The 22,703-nt window shown below is 41.8% G+C and overlaps 1 pseudogene, besides 2 other annotated features; it reads right to left on the reverse strand.

The window, feature by feature from the left end:
- On the reverse strand, positions 5-22,611 carry GSTA11P (glutathione S-transferase alpha 11, pseudogene; annotated as a pseudogene).
- Positions 21,276-21,445: an enhancer, noted in NCBI's record as "experimental_92153 CRE fragment used in MPRA reporter constructs". NCBI's record gives its function as "activates a minimal promoter by MPRAs in K562 erythroleukemia cells, with activity observed for both the introgressed and non-introgressed 6:52733906 variant alleles {active_cell/tissue: K562}" and the evidence as "EXISTENCE:reporter gene assay evidence [ECO:0000049][PMID:34662402]".
- Positions 21,997-22,207: a silencer, noted in NCBI's record as "fragment chr6:52734542-52734752 (GRCh37/hg19 assembly coordinates)". NCBI's record gives its function as "represses an EF-1alpha promoter that drives an FKBP-Casp9 reporter gene in an ReSE screen in phorbol 12-myristate 13-acetate-treated (for megakaryocytic differentiation) K562 erythroleukemia cells {active_cell/tissue: K562(+PMA)}" and the evidence as "EXISTENCE:reporter gene assay evidence [ECO:0000049][PMID:32094911]".

A 22,703-nucleotide genomic window follows, 5' to 3' on the forward strand; every position in this document is an offset into this window, starting at 1 on the left:
AACCAAGTCGACAAATAGGAGATTTATTATTTAATTAGTATGTAATTGGAAAGAGTTCATTAGCTTCACAACAGGCACAATCAACACTTAGGTAAAGTACTTTATTGTTGCAAAACTTTAGAATATTGGTCTTGCATGTTCTTGGCCTCCATGGCTGCTTTATTAAAATCTGAAAATCTTCCTTGCTTCTTCTAAAGATTTCTCATCCATGAGAGACTTCCTTGGGCTGCCAGGCTGTAGAAATTTCTTCACCATGGGCAGGTTGCTGATTCTGGTTTTCAGGGCCTGTAATTCACAATGCACAGCCTCAGAGTGAAGCCAAGGCCTGCCACCACCGTTTATACCACCCAGAAAATCTGAGACCCTTCTACACAAAGACCAAGCAAGTCTGTGCCATCAGCACCAGCATGGAGGCAGAAACAGACACTGAGCGAGAAATGAAGATGAGAGGAATAACATGTAGCTCACTTATATTTTCCCCAAAGATGTCTTTCAGATTTTAATCAGTTCAGCCATCCCTTTCTTCTTACATATTAATCCTGTAGATTAGTGACTCTTGTATAAGACAAGAAAAAACAATGTGCCGTGAGATTTCAACACAGATCAGTCTCTAAGCAGAAGTGAAAATATGGGGAAATGAGTTGGAAAGGAAAATGTTATAGAAAATATTAAACACAAATAATGGGACCACTTTTGTCAGTGAGAGATACAGTGTAGGGGGCCAGTGTGCTGGAGAGCTGTGCAGAGAGGAACACAGTGTCAGACAGCAGGAGTCAGAGCCTAGGGAGGAAACCAGATGGAGAGGGCTCTGCTCAGACTGACTCAATGCGGGAAGACAAGGGCACATATGGGATAAAGGACATCCCAGAGAACTCAGGAACAGAAACCACATTGAAATAGAGTGATGGGGAGACATGCTGGGCCCTGGGTCCTTTCCATGATAAAAGGCAAAATACTCTTCATGGGGTAGCATGCACCACAAATTTCCTTTCCATAACAAAAGTGTTTTCATTCCTCAAAATTGGAGCCTGGAAGCTCATTTTGGAGACTTTGGGGCACTGAAGGCCTGGTGAACATTGGGGTCAAAACATACTCAGTCCCAGGTCCCAGATACAAGATCCCAAGATGGGAGATATGGGTCTGCCTCTCTGAGAACTGTGAAATGGGTCACCTTCAGCAGAGGGAAGCTGAAGATAAGGCTAGAGTCAAGCTCTTCCATGTAGTAGAGAAGTTCCACCAAGTGAATGTCAGCCCAGCTCAGCTTGTTGCCAACAAGGTAGTCTTGTCCATTGCTCTTTAAGACGTCGAGAATTGGAGGAATCAAATCAGGATCACATGGGCAGTAAGGCTGGGACCCCTGGTTCTCCATCACATGTGCAGTAAGGCTGGGACCCCTGCTTCTCCCTGAGTCTCTCCAGTCTGACTCTCCCATTTCTGCTGCCTCACTGCATAGGTGCAGAGATCCAGACCTTTCTCCACATTCCCTGTTTCACTGAGGGAGTAAGAAGTGTAGCCCTGCTCACTCCTTGGTTGGAGCTCAAGCTCTCATTTTCTCTTCTCATCCACATCACTGTGGCATCTACACCACCCGCCCAGCTTGCTTCTTCCACATGGGCCAGGGGCTTAGCACCTGCTGCCACATGTTCTGTCTGCCCCAGGCCCTACAGCATGGAGCCTTCACATTTAGGACGTGGCTCTACATTCTTCTCTCTCCGTCTCCAATCTCCCTTGGGCAGCGACTCCACCTTCATGACAACACTCTTCCCCCAGGAGGAGACTATTTCAGAGTCCTCATTTCTCCTTCTCTGCTCTCCTCATTCCCTGCTCTATCTCCCTCGGATCTGAAGTAAACCTGGGTGAACCTGAATTCATCATCTTTCTTACAACATTGACTCTGACTCCTAACCAGCACTATGTTATAATTTGCAAGCTGAAGCGTTTAAGGGTGAACTGCACTGATGTCTGCAACTTATTATAAAATACAAAATCTTCCTCTGCATCCCACAGTCACTCTCCTTTTAATAAATACCCATCCCTGAAACACTACAATATTCTCTGGTTGGGCAATTGGTCTTGTGTCTTCCTACACAGGGTGCCAGAATATTTTCTGATGGGTCACTTTCATCATGTTCATCTTCAATAAAAGTCCATGGGGTTCCGTAGACTCAACAGCAACCTCTAGTGTGGTCCAGAGCCTTCCACAGCCCACGTTCTACTTATGAACATGAAATTTTGTTCAACAGAGAATTTAATGTTGGGGTCTAGTAAGTTAAAATTTTATTGGAAAATTATAACTTGTGTATAAGTGTTACAATTGTTCCTCCAAGTCTATTTGCATAAAATGCCTTGAGAGTCAGAGTGCTGCCTTGGTGTTCATGAAGTCTCACTGAAAGTGAAGGTCAGTGCCCCAGGAATGCCCAGCCACTGTTTTTCTACTGGTCTCTAAACTGAGTGATGCAAAACGCTGAACAGCTTCACTTATTTTTCAAAGGCAGGGAAATAGCGATTTTTTGTTCTCTGTTGGTTCAAGGCAAGCTTGGTGTCTTTATCCTCAGGTTGTCATATGGGCAGAGGAAGGATCATTTCACCCAAATCTGCTATACCTTCTGTGTACATATCAATCCTGAAAGACAAAAACAACCAAACCGTCAAATGTCTTTTGCCTTAGATTTTATAGGTTTATAAAAACCTAAGAGAATAGAGTGTCAGGTGGTGGCAAAGTAATTCACCTCCAGTGGGTGCCTTTTATATTCTAGTCATTATGCTCTGATTTTTACAGGTATATTAACATTTATTTCTTAAAACAACCTATCAAGGTAGATAGATCTCTAAATTTTGTTACACACATGACCAATACAGGTACCAAGAGCATCGGTGGTCACAGTCATGAGAGAAATTGGTGGAATCACTGCCAGTACCCAATGGTGCTGTGCCAGGACTGATCATCTCTATTGTGGTTTGCTCTGTGCATGAACTTAGTGTGAGTCAAATGGCCAAAGACCTACCTCCTACAATTTTAAAAGAGTCGCTGCTATAGCCATCTCAGCCATGTTCCTCATCCTCTCTCATCATTTTAAAGCTCCCAGGGCTGCTTCTATGCCTCATATTAGCAGTTCCTCCAATTACATCCATGAAACACGTTTCCACAGCCCTCTCCATGTGCTGTTACCCAACTCTAGCCATGTGTGACTTTCTTGAGACCCCACCTAAAAGATTGTCTTCCTTGGTGAAATTCTCTACATAGTTACAACCAACGCAAACTTTTCCTCTTTTGTGTCAAACTGGGGTTTCACAATCCTTTACTTTTTATTGTACTTTAAGTCCTAGGGTACATGTGCAGAAAGTGCAGTTTTGTTACATAGGTATACACGTGCCATGGTGGTTTGCTGCACCCATCAACCTGTCATCTACATTAGGTATTTCTCCTAATGCTATCCCTCCCCTAGCCCCCCACCCCCTGACAGGCCCTGGTGTGCGATGTTCCCCTCCCTGTGTCCATGTGTTCTCCTTGTTCAGCTCCCAGTTATGAATGAGAACATGTGGTGTTTGGTTTTCTGTTCTTGCATTAGTTTGCTGAGAATGATGGTTTCCGGCTTCATCCATGTCCCTGCAAAGGACATGAACTCATATTTTATGGCTGCATAGTATTCCATGGTGTATATGTGCCACATTTTCTTTATCCAGTCTATCATTGTTGGACATTTGGGTTGGTTCCAAGTCTTTGCTATTGTGAACAGTGCCACAATAAACATACGTGTGCATGAGTCTTCATAGTAGAATAATTTATAATCCTTTGGGTATATACCCAGTAATGGGATTGCCGGGTCAAATGATATTTCTAGTTCTAGATCCTTGAGGAATCACCACACTGTCTTCCACAATGGTTGAACTAATTTACACTCCCACCAACAGTGTATAAGCATTCCTATTTCTCCACATCCTCTCCAGCATCTATTGTTTCCTGACTTTTTAATGATCACCATTCTAACTGGCTTGAGATGGTATCTCAATGTGGTTTTGATTTGCATTTCTCTAATGGCCAGTGATGATAAGGTTTTTTTCATATGTTTTTTGGCTGTATAAATGTCTTCTTTTGAGAAGTGTCTGTTCATATCCTTCACTCACTTTTTGATGGGTTTTTTTTTCTTGTAAATTTGTTTAAGTTCTTTGTAGATTCTGGATATTAGCCCTTTGTCAGCTGGATAGATTGCAAAAATTTTCTCCCATTCTGTAGGTTGCCTGTTCACTCTGATGACAGTTTCTTCTGCTGTGCAGAAGCTCTTTATTTTAATTAGATCCCATTTGTCAATTTTAACTTCTGTTGCCATTGCTTTTGGTGTTTTAGTCATGAAGTCTTTGTCCATACCTATGTCCTGAATGGTATTGCCAAGGTTTCCTTCTAGGGTTTTTACGGTTTTAGGTCTTACATTTAAGTCTTTAATCCATCTTGAGTTAATTTTTGTAGAAAGTGTAAGGAAGGGATCCAGTTTCAGCTTTCTGCATATGGCTAGCCAGTTTTCCCAACACCATTTATTAAATAGGGAATCGTTTCCCCATTGCTTGTTTTTGTTGGGTTTACCAAAGATCAGATGGTGTAGATGTGTGGTGTTATTTCTGAGGCCTCTGTTCTGTTCCATTGGTCTTTATATCTGTTTTGGTACCAGTAACATGCTGTTTTGGTTACTGTAGACTTGTAGTATATTTTGAAGTCAGGTAGCGTGATGCCTCCAGTTTTGTTCTTTTTGCTTAGGATTGTCTTGGCTATGCAGGCTCTTTATTGGTTCCATATAAAATGTAAAGTAGTTTTCTCCAATTCTGTGAAGAAAGTCAGTGGTAGCTTGATGGGGATAGCATTGAATCTATAAATTACTTTGGGCAGTATGGCCATTTTTATGATATTGATTCTTCCTATCCATGAGCGTGGAATGTTTTTCCATTTGTTTGTGTCCTCTCTTATTTCCTTAAGCAGTGGTTTGTAGTTCTCCTTGAAGAGGTCTTTCACATCCCTTGTAAGTTGTATTCCTATTTATTTTATGCTCTTTGTAGCAATTGTGAATGGTAGCTCACTCATGATTTGGCTCTCTGTTTGTCTGTTACTGGTATATAGGAATGCTTGTGATTTCTGCACATCAGTTTTGTATCCTGAGGCTGCTGAAGCTGCTTATCAGCTTAAGGAGATTTGGGGCTGAAACGATGGGGTTTTCTAAATATACAACCATGTCATCTGCAAACAGACAATTTGACTTCCTCTTTTCCTAATTGAACATTCTTTATTTCTTTCTCTTGCCTTATTGCCCTGGCCAGAACCCCCAATACTATGGGAGTGGTGAGCAAGGGCATCCATGTCTTGTGCTGATTTTCCAAGGGAATGCTTCCAGTTTTGCCCATTCAGTATGATATTGGCTATGAGTATGCCATAAATTGCTTATTATTTTGAGATAGGTCTCATCAATACCTAGTTTATTTAATTAAGAGTTTTTATCACGAAGGGGTGTTGAATTTAGTCAAAGGCCTTTTCTGCATCTATTGAGATAATCACGTGGTTTTTTCATTGGTTCTGTTTATGTGATGGATTACATTTATTGATTTGCATGGGTTGAACCAGCCTTGCATCCCAGGGATGAAAGCCACTTGATTGTGGTGGATAAGCTTTTTGATGTGCTGCTGGATTCGGTTTACTAGTATTTTATTGAGTATTTTTGCATTGATGTTCATCAGGGCTATTGGTTTGAAATTTTCTTTTTTTGTTGTGTCTCTGCCAGACTTTAGTATCAGGATGATATTGGCCTCATAAAATGAGTTAGGGAGTATTCCCTCTTTTTCTATTGATTGGAATAGTTTCAGAAGGAATGGTACCGGCTCCTCTTTGTACCTCTGGTAGAATTTGGCTGTGAATCCATCTGGTCCTGGACTTTTTTTGGTTGGTAGGCTATTAATTATTGCCTCAATTTCAGAACTTGTTCTTAGTCTATTTGGGGATTCGACTTTTTCCTGTTTTGGTTTTGGAAGGGTGTATGTGTCCAGGAATTTATCCATTTCTTCCAGATTTTCTAGTTTATTTGTGTAGAGATGTTTATAGTATTCTCTGATGGTAGATGGTATTTCTGTGGGATTGGTAGTGATATCCCCTTTATCATATTTTATTGCATCTTTTTTATTCTTCTCTCTTTTCTTCTTTATTCGTCTGGCTAGTGGTCTATCCATTTTGTTGATCTTTCCCAAAAAAACCAGCTCCTGGATTCATTGATTTTTTGAAGGGTTTTTCGTGTCTCTATCTCCTTCAGATCTGCTCTGATCTTAGTTATTTCTTGTCTTCAGCTCGCTTTTGAGTTTGTTTCCTCTTGCTTCTCTAGTTCTTTGAATTGTGATATCAAGGTGTCGATTTTAGATCTTTCCTGCTTTCTCTTGTGGGCATTTAGTGCTATAAATTTCCCTCTACACACTGCTTTAAATGTGTTGTAGAGATTCTGGTACATTGTGTCTTTGTTCTTATTGGTTTCAAAGAGCATCTTTATTTCTGCCTTCATTTCATTACTTACCCAGTTGTCATTCAGGAGCAGGTTGTCCAGTTTCCATGTAGTTGTGCAGTTTTTGCGTGAGTTTCTTAATTCTGAGTTCTAATTTGATTGCACTGTGGTCTAACAGACTGTTTCTTATGATTTCTGTTCTTTTGCATTTGCTGAGGAGTGTTTTACTTCCAATTATGTGGTCAATTTTAGAATAAGTGTGATGTGGTGCTGAGAAGAATGTATATTCTGTTGATTTGGGGTGGAGAGTTCTGTAAATGTCTATTAGGTCCACTTGGTACAGAGCTGAGTTCAAGTCCTGGATATCCTTGTTAATTTTCTGTCTTGTTGATCTGTCTAATATTGACAATGGGGTTTTAAAGTCTCCCACTATTATTGTATGGGAGTCTAAGTCTCTTTGTAGGTCTCTAAGAACTTGCTTTATGAATCTGGGTGCTCCTGTGTTGGGTGCATATATATTTAGGATAGTTAGGTCTTATTGCATTGATCCCTTTACCATTATGTAATGGCCTTCTTTGTCTCTTTTGATCTTTGTTGGTTTAAAGTCTGTTTTATCAGAAACTGGGATTGCAACCCCTGCTTTTTTTTGCTTTCCATTTTGCTTGGTAAATATTCCTCCATGCCTTTATTTTGAGCCTATGTGTGTCTTTGCATGTGAGATGGGACTTCTGAATACAGCACAGCAATGGGTCTTGACTCTTTATCCAATTTGCCAGTCTGTGTCTTTTAATTGGGGCATTTAGCCCATTTACATTTAAGGTTAATATTGTTATGTGTGAATTTGATCCTGTCATTATGATGCTAGCTGGTTATTTTGCCCATTAGTTGAGGCAGTTTCTTCATAGCATCGATGGTCTTTGCAATTTGGTATGTTTTTGCAGTGGCTGGTACCAGTCACTTTCAAATACACCAATCAAATGCAGATTTGGTCTTTTCACATAGTCCCATATGTCTTGGAGGCTTTGTTCATTTCTTTTCACTCTTATTTCCCTAATCTTGTCTTCTCACTTTATTTCATTGAGTTGATCTTCAATCTCTGATGTCCTTTAATCTGCTTGATTGATTCGGCTATTGTTAATTGTATATGCTTCATGAAGTTCTCATTCTGTTTTTCAGCTCCATCAGGTCATTTATGTTCTTCTTTAAACTGGTTATTCTAGTTAACAATTCGTCTAACCTTTTTTCAAGGTTCTTAGCTTCCTTGCATTGGGTTAGAACATGCTCCTTTAGCTCAGAGGAGTTTGTTATTACCCACCTTCTGAACCCTACTTCTGTCAATTTGTCAAACTCATTCTCTGTCCGGTTTTGTTTGCTTGCTGGTGAGGAGTTGTGATCCTTTGGAGGAGAGGAGGTGCTCTGGTTTTTGGAATTTTCAGCCTTTTTCACTGTGTTCTTTCCATCTTCGTGGATTTATCTATCTTTCGTCTTTGATGTTGGTGACCTTCTGATAGGGTCTCTGAGTGGACATCCTTTTCGTTGATGCTGATACTACTCCTTTCTGTTTGTTAGTTTTCCTTCTATCAATCAGGCCCCTCTGCTGCAGGTCTGCTGGAGTTTGCTGGAGGTCCACTCCAGAACCTCTTTGCCTGGGTATCACCAGTGGAGGCTGCAGAACAGCAAAGATTGCTGCCTGTTCCTTCCTCTGGAAGCTTCATCCCAGAGGGACCCCCAATGGATGCCAGCCAGAGCTCTCCTGTATAAGGTGTCTGTCGGCCCCTACTGGGAGGTGTCTCCCAGTCAGGATACATGGGGATCATGGACCCACTTGAGGAGGCAGTCTGTCCCTTATCAGAGCTTGAACGCTGTGCTGGGAGAACCACTGCTCTCTTCAGAGCTGTCAGGCTGGGACATTTAAGTCTGCTGAAGCTGTGCCCATAGCCACTCCTTCCCCCAGGTGCTCTGTCTCAGGAAGATGGGGGTTTTATCTATAAGTCCCTGGCTGAGGCTGCTGCCTTTTTTTTCAGAGATGCCCTGCCCAGAGAGGAGGAGTCTAGAAAGGCAGTCTGGCCACAGAGGCCTTGCTGAGCTGCAGTGGGCTCTGCCCAGTTCGAACTTCCTGGTGGCTTTGTTTACACTGTGAGGGGAAAACCGCCTACTCAAGCCTCAGCAATGGCAGATGCCCCTCCCCCCACCAAACCCAAGCATCCCAGGTCGAGCTCAGACTGCTGTGCTGGCAGCAAGAATTTCAAGCCAGTGGATCTTAGCTTGCTGGGCTCCATGGGGGTGGGACCTGCCAAGCCAGACTACTTGGCTCCCTGGCTTCAGGCCCCTTTCCAGGGGAGTGAACAATTCTGTCTCGCTGGCATTCCAGGTGCCACTAGGGTATGAAAAAAAAAAAAACTCCTGTAGCTAGTTCAGTGTCTGCCCAAATGGGTGCCAAGGTTTGTGCTTGAAACACAGGGCCCTGGTGGGGTAGGCACCGGAGGGAATCTCCTGGTCTGCCGGTTGCGAAGACCATGGGAAAAGTGCAGTATCTGGGCCAGTGTGCACCGTTCCTCCCAATACAGTCTGTCATGGCTTCCCTTGGCTAGGGGAGATAATTCCCTGACCCCCTGTGCTTCCCGGGTGAGGTGACACCCCACCCTGCTTCGGCTCACCCTCCAAGGGCTGCACCCACTGTCCAACCAGTCCCAATGAGATGAACTGGGTACCTCTGTTGGAAATGCAGAAATCACCCACATTCTGCGTCAACCTCGCTGAGAGCTGCAGACTGGAGCTGTTCCTATTTGGCCATCTTGCAAGTCTCCCCACAATACTTTTTAAAACAACAGCTTTATTGACATATAGTCACATACTATAATTGTGACTTGTTAAATTATACTATTGAGTGGTTTTTAGTGCATTCAAAGATTTCTGCAAAAATCATGGCAGTCTAATTCCAGAATATTTTTTATCACTCTGATAAGGACATCTGTACCTTTAGTGGTATTCCTCATTTTTCCACAAGCCCCACTCCTTTACCTCCAGGCAACCTCTAATCTACTCTCTGCCTCTATAGATTTGCATGTTCTGGACATTTCATATGGAAAGGATCCTATAATACGTGGCTTTCTGTGTCTTGTTTCTTTTATGTAACATGTCTTTATGGTTTAACCATCTTGTAGCATGCATCAGTACTTCATTCCTTTTCATGACCAAATATCATTCCATTGCATGGCTAAGGTGCATTTTTCTCCTCCATTTATTGACTGATGGATATTTGGGTTGCTTCCACTTTTTGAATACTATGAATATTGTTATTTGCATGGTTCATTTATGTAAAAGATTTAGTGTGGATATATTTTTGATTATTTGGGGATACAGCTATTAGAGGAACTGTGGGGTCATTGGTAATACTATATTAAACTTTTTGAGGAGTTGCCAACAGTTCCATTCAGGATTTATTTGGAATCATGCAGTCTCATCACAACAGCAAGGAGACCCCTTGGCTTTGCTGGTATTGAATAAATCTGGCTGCTTCAGCCTTGTATCCATGTGTCAAGGTAACCCCAGCATCCTTGGTGCCAGCCTCTACAGGCACTGCTCAGGTGTTCCAGTCCATATAATTGGTTGGTAATTTAGGTTTCTGGTCATCATTCTTGGAATTACTGGGACCTGAGATTCAGCTTCTTTGCCACCTTCCGTCCCAAGTCCTTCATCTGCAGACTCTCAAACATTCTATGCCTGTCCTAAGCTATAGGCTGGAATCCAGTGTCTGAAATCCTTAGCACCTGGAATCATGATTCGCCATCATCCTGAGTTCATGGTTCATCAGTGTTTGGAAACCTCTGTCAGGGTGCTGAATCCATGGACTGCATCGTCTTCTAGAATCACCCTCGCCTGAACCCTCCCCATGGTCACTATTCCTTCATCTATGTGGAATTCTGCAATGCTGGACCTCAGCGTACATGCCCAAGGCCCAGCCTGCTGCTGGTCATGATGTTCCTGCCATGGTCCCACCCACTCAAGGAGGGACCTAAATCACTCCGTGTTATCTGTTGATGGAAGAACAGAAAATATACTGTACAGGACTCTCTCCTTTATGTCTTTCCGATAGAGATTGTATTTGCTGGCAACGTAGTTGAGAATGGCTCTGGTCTGAACCAGCTTCATCCCATCAATCTCAACCATTGGCACTTGTTGGAACATAAAACTCCCATCTTTAGAAAGAAGGAAAAAAGGAGAGTGAAATGTCTATGGAACCCACTCTTTCCGTATGAAAAAAATGGTATGGAAATTACTAAATTTGTGAAATGAAAAAGAAATTATGGCCTGGTAAGATTTCACTTGAAACAACTTTTTGTTTTGTTTTGTTTTGTTTTTGAGACAGAGTTGCACTTTGTCACCCAGGCTGGAGTTCAGTGGCGTGATTTCGGCTCACTGTAACCTCTGCCTCCTGGGTTGAAGCAATTCTTGTACCTCAACCTCCTGAGTAGCTGGGATTACAGGTGTGCACCAACATGCCTGGCTAATTTTTATATTTTTAGTAGAGATGGGGTCTCACCATGTTGCCCTAACTGGTCTCATACTCCCGATCTCAAATGATCCACCCACCTCAGCCTCCCAAAGTGCTGGGATTAGGCGTAAGCGACTGCACCTGGCCCAAACAAGATTTTTAAAAAGCTTCCCGTAGTTCTTCTTTTTCTTAAGAAGCTTCCTTTTACTTTTTATCGATTTATTTCATTCATGTTTTTATTTCCCCTCCAGATACATAGTAGGACTCTTGTATTTTTGTGTTGATTTATCTTCATGGATATTTTAGGAAGAGGTTGGGACAAGTTACAATAGGACTGGCAACAAGATGCCATTTAAAATGGGAAGTTCCCAAAGTAAGTCTCATGGTGTTTGTGACATTTAAGGCAATTTCTGAGAGGTTTTTATGTAAGGGTCCCTTTCTCTGCTCTTCAAAGCCTACAATGTTTGTGCAGTGCTGCAGTGTTACCTTGTCATGCCCCCGCATGAAAGAAAAAACTCAAGACTGTGGCCACATCGATTTCTCCTCCTTTAGTCTAATGCATGTTCTTGCGTGTCCTTGGATGGGGAGAGCTGTGTGGGATCCTGAGCTGATGACCACAGCTCATTCACGGAGCCCCAATCATGAAAACAAAGAAAGGGTTTTCTCAGGGCATGGGAGATGATTCCTCTAGCAAATAGTCTGAGAGGTCTGGTCCTTTTAGTCTGGAGAGAGTTGCCAGACTTGATCACGGAGCCACATCCCTTCCATTTTAACCACTTTCTCCCTCTGCACCATGTACAAATACCACGCCCCACACACATAGGCATTGCCGGCTGGTCAAACCTCCCCGTGTACCTTCTACTCGATACTATCATCAGAGGCACTTAGAGATTGATCTTACCTTTTTTTTTTTTTTTTTTGAGACTGAGTCTTGCTCTGTCACCCAGGCTGGAGTGCAGTGGTGCGATCTTGGCTCACTGCAACATCCGCCTCTAGGGCTCAAGCGATTCTACCGCCTCAGCCTACTGAGTAGCTGGGATTACAGGCACACACCATCATGCCTGGCTAATTTTTTTATTTTTAGTAGAGAAGGGTTTTCACCACATTGGTCAGGCTGGTCTCGAACTCCTGACCTCATGATCAGCCCGCCTTGGCTTCCCAAAGTGCTGGGATTACAGGCAGGAGCCACTTCACCTGGCCGATCTTACCATTTCTTAACTTTTCCAAATCTTCTGCAGATTCTAGAAATTTCTCTTCAAAATGCAAGCAGAAACAGTATATGAGTTCTTGTTAGTTTATTCTATTATAGACTTGTGATGTGGAATGGCCCCTATCTGGTGCATGGTTTGGAGAATATAAGATTTCTGAGTTTGGCAGGGTACACAGAGGGGGCTGGTCATGGCCATTTGTAAATTTAGACCTAATTTATTGAGAAAAGTGCGTGGGTCACAGCACATAGCTGCTCAATCTTCTAGTTCACTTCACCTCCAGCCTGATCTCATGAATGTCTATGATTAGGTCATATTTTGAGAGCAGACATCACTGGAGAAAAGGCACTGAGCAGTTCTTCTACTTATGGTGTTGTCATATCTTAGGAAAGCCTGTGTCTCCAGGTGAGATCAGACCACAACCTTGTGTGTCCCCAGTGTGGGGTATGCCATGGGCTAATGGCCATCAAATATTCTGCCACCAAGGAGTCTCTGCTATAATTTATATCACCCCACTTCTCAGAAACTCTGCTAAGGGTGAAATAGGTTGCAGCTGTTGCACAGCTTTCACACTTGCAACTGTAATTTTCTCTTCTGAAGTACATGGGACCAATAGGGTAAAATTCTCAATTTAATAAAGGAATTAGAGCCCCACGCTAACATTATTTTTCATGAAAACCTCTGGTTTCTGATGTGGTTTTGTGGGTTCATTATCACCATTTTCATGTACTGGCTTCTTGACTTTGGACATGTTACCGAAACTCTCTGTGTCTGAGTATGCTAATCTATGAAATGGGTAAACTTATGGAACTTATGGTATAGGTTGATATCAAGATTTAATTACAAGGTCACACAAAGCACTTAGAAAAGTAGCAAGTGATAGTAACTGCTCATTAAATATAAATTTTGGGGGGTGGAGCCAAGATGGCCAAATAGGAACAACTCCAGTCTAGAGCTCCCAGCGTGAGCGACGCAGAAGACAGGTGATTTCTGCATTTCCAACTGAGGTACCGGGTTCATCTCACTGGGGAGTGTCAGATACTGGGTGCAGGACAGTGGGTGCAGCACACCGAGTGTGAGCCAAAGCAGGGCGAGGCATTGCCTCACCTGGGAAGCACAAGGGGTCAGGTAATTCCCTTTCCTAGTCAAAGAAGGGGGTGACAGACGGCACCTGGAAAATCGGGTCACTCCCACCCTAATACTGTGCTTTTCCAACAGTCTTAGCAAACAGCACACCAGGAGATTATAACCCGGGCCTGCCTCAGAGGGTCCTACGCCCACAGAGCCTCTCGCTCATTGCTAGCACAGCAGTCTGAGATCAAACTGCAAGGCGGCAGCGAGGCTTGGGGAGGGGCGCCCACCATTGCCAAGGCTTGAGTAGGTAAACAAACTGGCCTGGAAGCTCAAACTGGGTGGAGCCTACCTCAGTTCAAGGAGGCCTGCCTGCCTCTATAGTCTCCACCTCTGGGGGCAGGTCATAACGGAACAAAAGGCAGCAGAAACCTCTGCAGACTTAAATGTCCCTGTCTGACAGCTTTGAAGAGAGTAGTGGTTCTCCCAGCATGTAGCTTGAGATCTGAGAACAGACAGACTGCCTCCTCAAGTGGGTCCCTTACCCCTGAGTAGCCTAACTGGGAGGCAGCCCACCATAGGGGCAGTCTGACACCTCACACGGCTGGGTACTACTCTGAGACAAAACTTCCAGAGGAACAATCAGACAGCAACATTTGCTGTTCACCAATATCCACTGTTCTGCAGCCTCCGCTGCTGATACTCAGGCAAACAGGGTCTGGAGTAGACCTCTAGCAAACTCCAACAGACCTGCAGCTGAGGGCCCTGACTGTTAGAAGGTAAACTAACAAACAGAAAGGACATCCACACCAAAACCCCATCTGTACGTCACCATCATCAAAGACCAAAGGTAGATAAAACCACAAAGATGGGGAAAAAACAGAGCAGAAAAACTGGAAACTCTAAAAATCAGAGCGCCTCTCCTCCTCCAAAGGGGCGCAGCTCTGCACCAGCAACAAAGCTGGACAGAAAACGACTTTGACGAGTTGAGAGAAGAAGGCTTCAGATGATCAAACTACTCTGAGCTAAAGGAGGAAGTTTGAACCCATGGCAAAGAAGTTAAACACCTTGAAAAAATATTAGACGAATGGCTAACTAGAATAACCATGCACAGAAGTCCTTAAAGGACCTGATGGAGCTGAAAACCACGGCACAAGAACTACATGACAAATGCACAAGCCTCAGTAGTCGATTTGATCAACTGGAAGAAAGGGTATCAGTGATGGAAGATGAAATGAATGAAATGAAGTGAGAAGAAAGTTTAGAGAAAAAAGAATAAAAAGAAATGAACAAAGCCTCCAAGAAATATGGGACTATGTGAAAAGACCAAATCTACATCTGATTGGTGTGCCTGAAAGTGACGGGGAGAATGGAACCAAGTTGGAAAACACTCTGCAGGATATTATCCAGGAGAACTTCCCCAATCTAGCAAGGCAGGCCAACATTCAGATTCAGGAAATACAGAGAACGCCACAAAGATACTCCTTGAGAAGAGCAACTCCAAGACACATAATTGTCAGATTCACCAAAGTTGAAATGAAGGAAAAAATATTAAGGGCAGCCAGAGAGAAAGGTTGGGTTATCCACAAAGGGAAGCCCATCAGACTAACAGCTGATCTCTCTGCAGAAACTCTACAAGCCAGAAGAGAGTGGGGGCCAATATTCAACATTTTTTTTTTTTTTTTTGAGACGGAGTCTCGCTCTGTCACCCAGGCTGGACTGCAGTGGTGGGATCTCGGCTCACTGCAAGCTCCTCCTCCTGGGTTCACGCCATTCTCCTGCCTCAGCCTCCCAAGTAGCTGGGACTACAGGCGCCCGCCACTACGCCCGGCTAATTTTTTGTATTTTTAGTAGAGATGGGGTTTCACCGTTTTAGCCGGGATGGTCTCTATCTCCTGACCTCGTGATCCGCCCCCCAAGGCCTCCCAAAGTGCTGGGATTACAGGCGTGAGCCACCGCGCCCGGCTAATATTCAACATTCTTAAAGAAAAGAACTTTCAACCCAGAATTTCATATCCAGCCACACTAAGCTTCATAAGTGAAGGAGAAATAAAATCCTTCACAGAAAAACATATGCTGAGAGATTTTGTCACCACCAGGCCTGCCCTACAAGAGCTCCTGAAGGAAGCACTAAACATGGAAAGGAACAACCGGTACCAGCCACTGCAAAATCATGCCAAATTATAAAGATCATCGAGGCTAGGAAGAAAATGCATCAACTAATGAGCAAAATAACCAGCTAACATAATGACAGGATCAAATTCACACATAATAATATTAACCTTAAATGTAAATGGGCTAAATGCTCCAATTAAAAGACACAGACTGGCAAACTGGATAGAGTCAAGACCCATCAGTGTGCTGTATTCAGGAAACCCATCTCATCTGCAGAGACACACATAGGCTCAAAATAAAGGAATGGAGGAAGATCTACCAAGCAAATAGAAAACAAAAAAGGCAGGAGTTGCAATCCTAGTCTCTGATAAAACAGATTTTAAACCAACAAAGATCAAAAGAGACAAAGAAGGCCATTACATAGTGGTAAAGGAATCAATTCAACAAGAAGAGCTAACTATCCTAAATATATATGCACCTAATTCAGGAGCACCCAGATTCATAAAGCAAGTCCTTAGAGACCTACAAAGAGACTTAGACTCCCATACAATAATAATGGGAGACTTTAACACCCCACTGTCAACATTAGACAGATCAGTGAGACAGAAAGTTAATGAGGATATCCAGGAATTGAACTCAGCTCTGCACCAAGCAGACCTAATAGACATTTACAGAACTCTCCACCCCAAATCAACAGAATATACATTCTTTTCAGCACCACACCACACTTATTCCAAAATTGACCACATAGTTGGAAGTAAAGCACTCCTCAGCAAATGTAAAAGAACAGAAATTATAACAAACTGTCTCTCAGACCACAGTGCAATCAAACTAGAACTCAGGATTAAGAAACTCACTCAAAACCGCTTAACTACATGGAAACTGAACAACCTGCTCCTGAATGACTACTGGGTACATAATGAAATGAAGGCAGAAATAAAGATGTTCTTTGAAACCAATGAGAACAAAGACACAACATACCAGAATCTCTGGGACACATTCAAAGCAGTGTGTAGAGGGAAATTTATAGCACTAAATGCCCACAAGAGAAAGCAGGAAAGATCTAAAATTGACACCCTATTATCACAATTAAAAGAACTAGAGAAGCAAGAGCAAACACATTCAAAAGCTAGCAGAAGGCAAGAAATAACTAAGATCAGAGCAGAACTGAAGGAAATAGAGACACAAAAATCCCTTCAAAAAATCAATGAATCCAGGAGCTGGTTTTTTGAAAAGATCAACAAAATTGATAGACTGCCACCAAGACTAATAAAGAAGAAAAGAGAGAAGAATCAAATAGATGCAATAAAAAATGATAAAGGGGATATCAACACCAATCCCACAGAAATACAAACTACCATCAGAGAATACTATAAACACCTCTATGTAAATAAACTAGAAAATCTAGAAGAAATGGATATATTCCTTGACACATACACTCTCCCAAGACTAAACCAGGAAGAAGTTGAATATCTGAATAGTCCAATAACAGGCTCTGAAATTGAGGCAATAATTAATAGCTTACCAACCAAAAAAAGTCCAAGACCAGATGAATTTACAGCCGAATTCTACCAGAGGTACAAGGAGGAGCTGGTACCATTCCTTCTGAAACTATTCCAATCAATAGAAAAAGAGGGAATCCTCCCTAACTCATTTTATGAGGCCAGCATCATCCTGATACCAAAGCCTGGCAGAGACACAACCAAAAAAGAGAATTTTAGACCAATATCCTTGATGAACATCAATGCAAAAATCCTCAATAAAATACTGGCAAACCAAATCCAACAGCACATCAAAAAACTTATCCACGATGATCAAGTGGGCTTCATCCCATGCAAGGCTGGTTCAACATATGCAAATCAATAAACGTAATCCAGCATATAAACAGAACCAATGACAAAAACCACATGATTTTCTCAATAGATGCAGAAAAGGCCTTTGACAAAATTCAACAACACTTCATGCTAAAAACTCTCAGTAAATTAGGTATTGATGGGACATATCTCAAAATAATAAGAGCTATCTATGACAAACCCACAGCCAATATCATACAGAATGGGCAAATACTGGAAGCATTCCCTTTGAAAACCTGCACAAGACAGGGATGCCCTCTCTCACCACTCCTATTCAACATAGTGTTGGAAGTTCTGGCCAGGACAATCAAGCAGGAGAAGGAAATAAAGGGCATTCAATTAGGAAAAGAGGAAGTCAAATTGTCCCTGTTTGCAGATGACATGATTGTATATCCAGAAAACCCCGTCGCCTCAGCCCAAAATCTCCTTAAGCTGATAAGGAACTTCAGCAGTCTCAGGATACAAAATCAATGTGCAAAAATCACAAGCATTCTTATACACCAATAACAGACAAACAGAGAGCCAAATCATGAGTGAATTCCCATTCACAATTGCTTCAAAGAGAATAAAAGACCTACGAATCCAACTTACAAGGGATATGAAGGACCTCTTCAAGGAGAACTACAAATCGCTACTCAATGAAATAAAAGAGGATACAAACAAATGGAAGAATATTCCATGCTCATGGTTAGGAAGAATCAATATCGTGAAAATGGCCATACTGCCCAAGGTAATTTATAGATTCAATGCCATCCCCATCAAGCTACCAATGACTTTCTTCACAGAATGGGAAAAAACTACCTTAAAGTTCATATGGAAGCAAAAAAGAGCCCACAATGCCAAGTCAATCCTAAGCCAAAAGAACAAAGCTGGAGGCATCACGCTACCTGACTTCAAACTATACTACAAGGCTACAGTAACCAAAATAGTATGGTACTGGTACCAAAACAGAGATATAGACCAATGGAACAGAACAGAGCCCTCAGAAATAATGCCGCATATCTACAATTATCTGATCTTTGACAAACCTGAAAAAAATAAGCAATGGGGAAAGGATTCCCTATTTAATAAATGGTGCTGGGAAAACTGGCTAGCCATATGTAGAAAGCTGAAACTGGATCCCTTCCTTACACCTTATACAAAAATCAATTCAAGATGGATTAAAGACTTAAACGTTAGACCTAAAACCATAAAAACCCTAGAAGAAAACCTAGGCAATACCATTCAGGACATAGGCATGGGCAAGGACTTCATGTTTAAAACACCAAAAGCAATGGCAACAAAAGCCAAAATTGACAAATGGGATCTAATTAAACTAAAGAGCTTCTGCACAGCAAAAGAAACTACCATCAGAGTGAACAGGCAACCTACAAAATGGGAGAAAATTTTCGCAACCTACTCATCTGACAAAGGGCTAATATCCAGAATCTACAATGAACTCAAACAAATTTACAAGAAAAAAACAAACAACCCCATCAAAAAGTGGGCAAAGGATATGAACAGACACTTCTCAAAAGAAGACATTTATGCAGCCAAAAGACACATGAAAAAATGTTCATCATCACTGGCCATTAGAGAAATGCAAATCAAAACCACAATGAGATACCATCTCACACTGGTTAGAATGGCAATCATTAAAAAGTCAGGAAACAACAGGTGCTGGAGAGGATGTGGAGAAATAGGAAGACTTTTACACTGTTGGTGGGACTGTAAACTAGTTCATCCATTGTGGAAGTCAGTGTGGTGATTCCTCAGGGATCTAGAACTAGAAATACCATTTGACCCAGCCATCCTATTACTGGGTATATACCCAAAGGACTATAAATCATGCTGCTATAAAGACACATGCACACGTATGTTTATTGTGGCACTATTCACAATAGCAAAGACTTGGAACCAACCCAAATGTCCAACAGTGATAGACTGGATTAAGAAAATGTGGCACATATACACCATGGAATACTATGCAGCCATAAAAAATGACGAGTTCATGTCCTTTGTAGTGACATGGGTGAAATTGGAAATCATCATTCTCAGTAAACTATCGCAAGGACAAAAAACCAAACACCATATGTTCTCACTCATAGATGGGAATTGAACAGTGAGAACACATGGACACAGGAAGGGGAACATCACACTCTGGGGACTGTTGTGGGGTGGGGGGAGGGCGGGAAGGATAGCATTAGGAGATATACCTAATGCTAAATGATGAGTTAATGGGTGCAGCACACCAGCATGGCACATGTATACATATGTAACTAACCTGCACATTGTGCACATGTACCCTAAAACTTAAAGTATAATAATAATAAAAAAAAAAGAAAAAAGAAAGAAAATGTGGCACATATACACCATGGAATGCTATGCCACCATAAAAAAATGATGAGTTCATGTCCTTTGTAGGGACATGAATGAAGCTGGAAATCATCATTCTCAGCAAACTATCACAAGGACAAAAAACCAAACACCGCATGTTCTCACTCATAGGTGGGAACTGAACAATGAGAACACATGGACACAGGAAGGAGAACATCACTCACCGGGGACTGTTGTGGGGTGGGGGTAAGGGGGAGGGATAGCATTAGGAGTTATACCCAATGCTAAATGACGAGTTAATGGGTGCAGCACACCAACATGGCACATGTATACATATGTGACAAACCTGCATGTTGTGCACATGTACCCTAAAACTTAAAGTATAATTTTAAAAAATCAAATATATAGAAAAAAATACACACCAGATTTTGAATACTTAGTATGAAAAACAATAATTTTAATATATTGACTACATAGTAAAATAACATTTTAGATATAATGAGTTAAATATATTATTAAAGTTAATTTCATCTGTTTCTTTTTACTTTTTAAAATGTGGCTACTTAGAAACTTTAAAATTACATACAGGGTTGTGGCCCCCAGCATATCTCTGTCAGGTACCCTGGGCTATTAAACTCCAAATTACCTAACTGCCTTTGTTCTAATTCAGTGCTTACCAACGAACCTTCTGATTACTTATCTAAGCTTATAAGTATACCTCAGTAACAAAAAAAGGAGTATCATACGTAAGAGACTTATGTATTCTGGACCCTTTAAGATATCTCCTCTACCAAATGTAAAATAATAAATACCATTCTGGTTTCCCTTAAAAAAAAGATATCCAACCAAATGATTTTTATTAAATATGCATTAAAACTCAAAATAAATAAATAAATAAATAAATATAAATTATCTTTAGAATTTTGAGATATAGCTGGCTATTTCATCATATCATCCTTTAAAAAATTTAAATCAATCTAAAATTGATGAAAATATACTTTGATCTTGATCTACAACCAGTAATTTAAACCTTGGAGTAAATTACACCTTGTCCTGAGACAAGTCACTTTGGTGGAAATGGCAGCCAGCAACAAAGCTGTCTCAGTCTGATCAGAAGCTATGAGTGGTTGCAGGTATTTAATACTGATATGAAATTCAGTTATTACGTAATGATGAAGTTGACTTACATAGGCAGAATCTGTCAAACCAAAAGTCTAAGCAAAAGTTATCAAGATTCTCTGGATTTCACTGTTGATATGATCTGGTTCCAATCTTGACTCTGCCTCATAATAGCTGTGTGATCTGGGAATCATCACTTAACATCTTCAAGCCTTAGTTTCCTCATCTGCAAAATGGGGAAAGAATATTTCCTTAATCAGAATTTTGTAATGTTTCAAAATGCATGATACAGGGCCTGACCCACATACATCAAGTAATAAATGGTAGTTGTGTTTCCAGTGGCTAATTACACTTTAATGGAGTTCTTTATGGTGAAAATTCAGGAATTTAGGGATTTCTAGCTTGCTCCGTGGAACAGAGTTTGTTGTGGATCTATGATCACATAGGACCAGGATCTAGAGGTTACGGGGGGTGTGTGCCAGCAATTAATATAGCATCCAGTTCAGGACAAACCTAAGGAACGATGTGTGGTCCTGGCAGGAGGGTGACCGAGATGGGGTGGGATTGGCAAGTGGGATGTTGCTTGTGAGGCTGAGGACTGGGTTGTGATCATCAGCCTTAGGGCACTGAGACCCCAGAAGCCTGAGCAAGGTCTGCAGTCAGCCCTGCCCCCGCCTTCAGTCAGGCTAGATGGAGACCAGGGAGCCTGTGTTCCTCCCAGCCTTGCCCCTCCCCTCCCTCCTGCTGAACTCTTCCTACCCGGGCTCTGAACACATCCCTGAGCTGCAGAGCTGATGTCTGGGTGACAGGGTATTCATTTGTACAAAGAAAACAACCTGGAATGGCAGTGTTTGGATTTCTTATGTGCTTGTTTCCTCGTAGGATTGAGAAAGGATGAGGCTAAGGTCCCAAGCCCTCGTGAAACAATGCACAAAGTACCGTTCCGAGGTTCAGGTCCACGCGGCGCTGTGAGGCTGAAGGGGCGCGCTAGAAGTTCCCTTCACAGGACGCCACCTCACCTGAAATCCTCCTTTTCTGCTGCCACCCGAGGGACAAGATATGTCCACCTACTTGTAATAATTCCAAGGAAATCCCAGATCCATAAGATTAATCCTTAAATACTTCAATGTGTTTTCCTAAAACATACTATTCTAAAGATAGAACTAGTACATTATCACACATGAAATATTAACAATAATTCTTTCATGTCATCAAATATTCAGTCAATATTCATGTTTCTAATTGTATAAATACCAAAATAATTATTATTATCATTTTATTTTTATTTTTTGAGACAGAGTTTCACTCTTGTTGCCCAGGCTGGAGTGCAATGGCATGATCTCAGCTCACTGCAACCTCCGCCTCCCAGGTTTGAGTGATTCTCCTGCCTCGGCCTCCTGAGTAGCTGGGATCACAGGCATGCACCACCACACCTGGCTAATTTTGTATTTCTAATAGAGACGGCTTTTCCCCATGTTGGTTAGGCTGGTGTCGAACTCCTGATCTCAGGTGATCCGCCCGCCTCGACCCCCCAAAGTGCTGGGATTACAGGCGTGAGCCACTACACCTGGTCAATGCCATAATTATTGTTTACAGTTTGTTTAAATTCTAATCCACTTAAGTTCTACACTTTGTGATTAGTTTTTTAAATATATTTTAATATTGAGGCTCTTAGATGATAAGAAATTTTAACAATTATTAGGTCAAATCTGTTCATCTTTTTCTTAATTATAGTCCATTTTTATTTAAGGCACAATGCTTCAGTTAGTAATCATCTCATAGTTTCTGTGGGAAAAGTATGTGATAACACAATTTTAAATCCAACTTAAGATGACCTAACTCAGAACCTACCTCTACTCCGGCTGCAGCCAGGAGCCACCAGGTGGACTCCATTCTGCCCTGTGCATTGGAGTAGTGGAGCTTGGGCTTCTCTGCCATGGTAGCAGTCTCCTGGAGGTTTCTCTAAGCCTGAATGAATGAATGAAAGAATGAATGAATGAATGAATAATTTAAGCCATAGAATCAAAAATGTACTTTAGGATGTATGGTTGAAAACCAC

Source organism: Homo sapiens, chromosome 6 (genome assembly GCF_000001405.40).
Source record: "Homo sapiens chromosome 6, GRCh38.p14 Primary Assembly".
Classification (NCBI taxonomy): domain Eukaryota; kingdom Metazoa; phylum Chordata; class Mammalia; order Primates; family Hominidae; genus Homo; species Homo sapiens.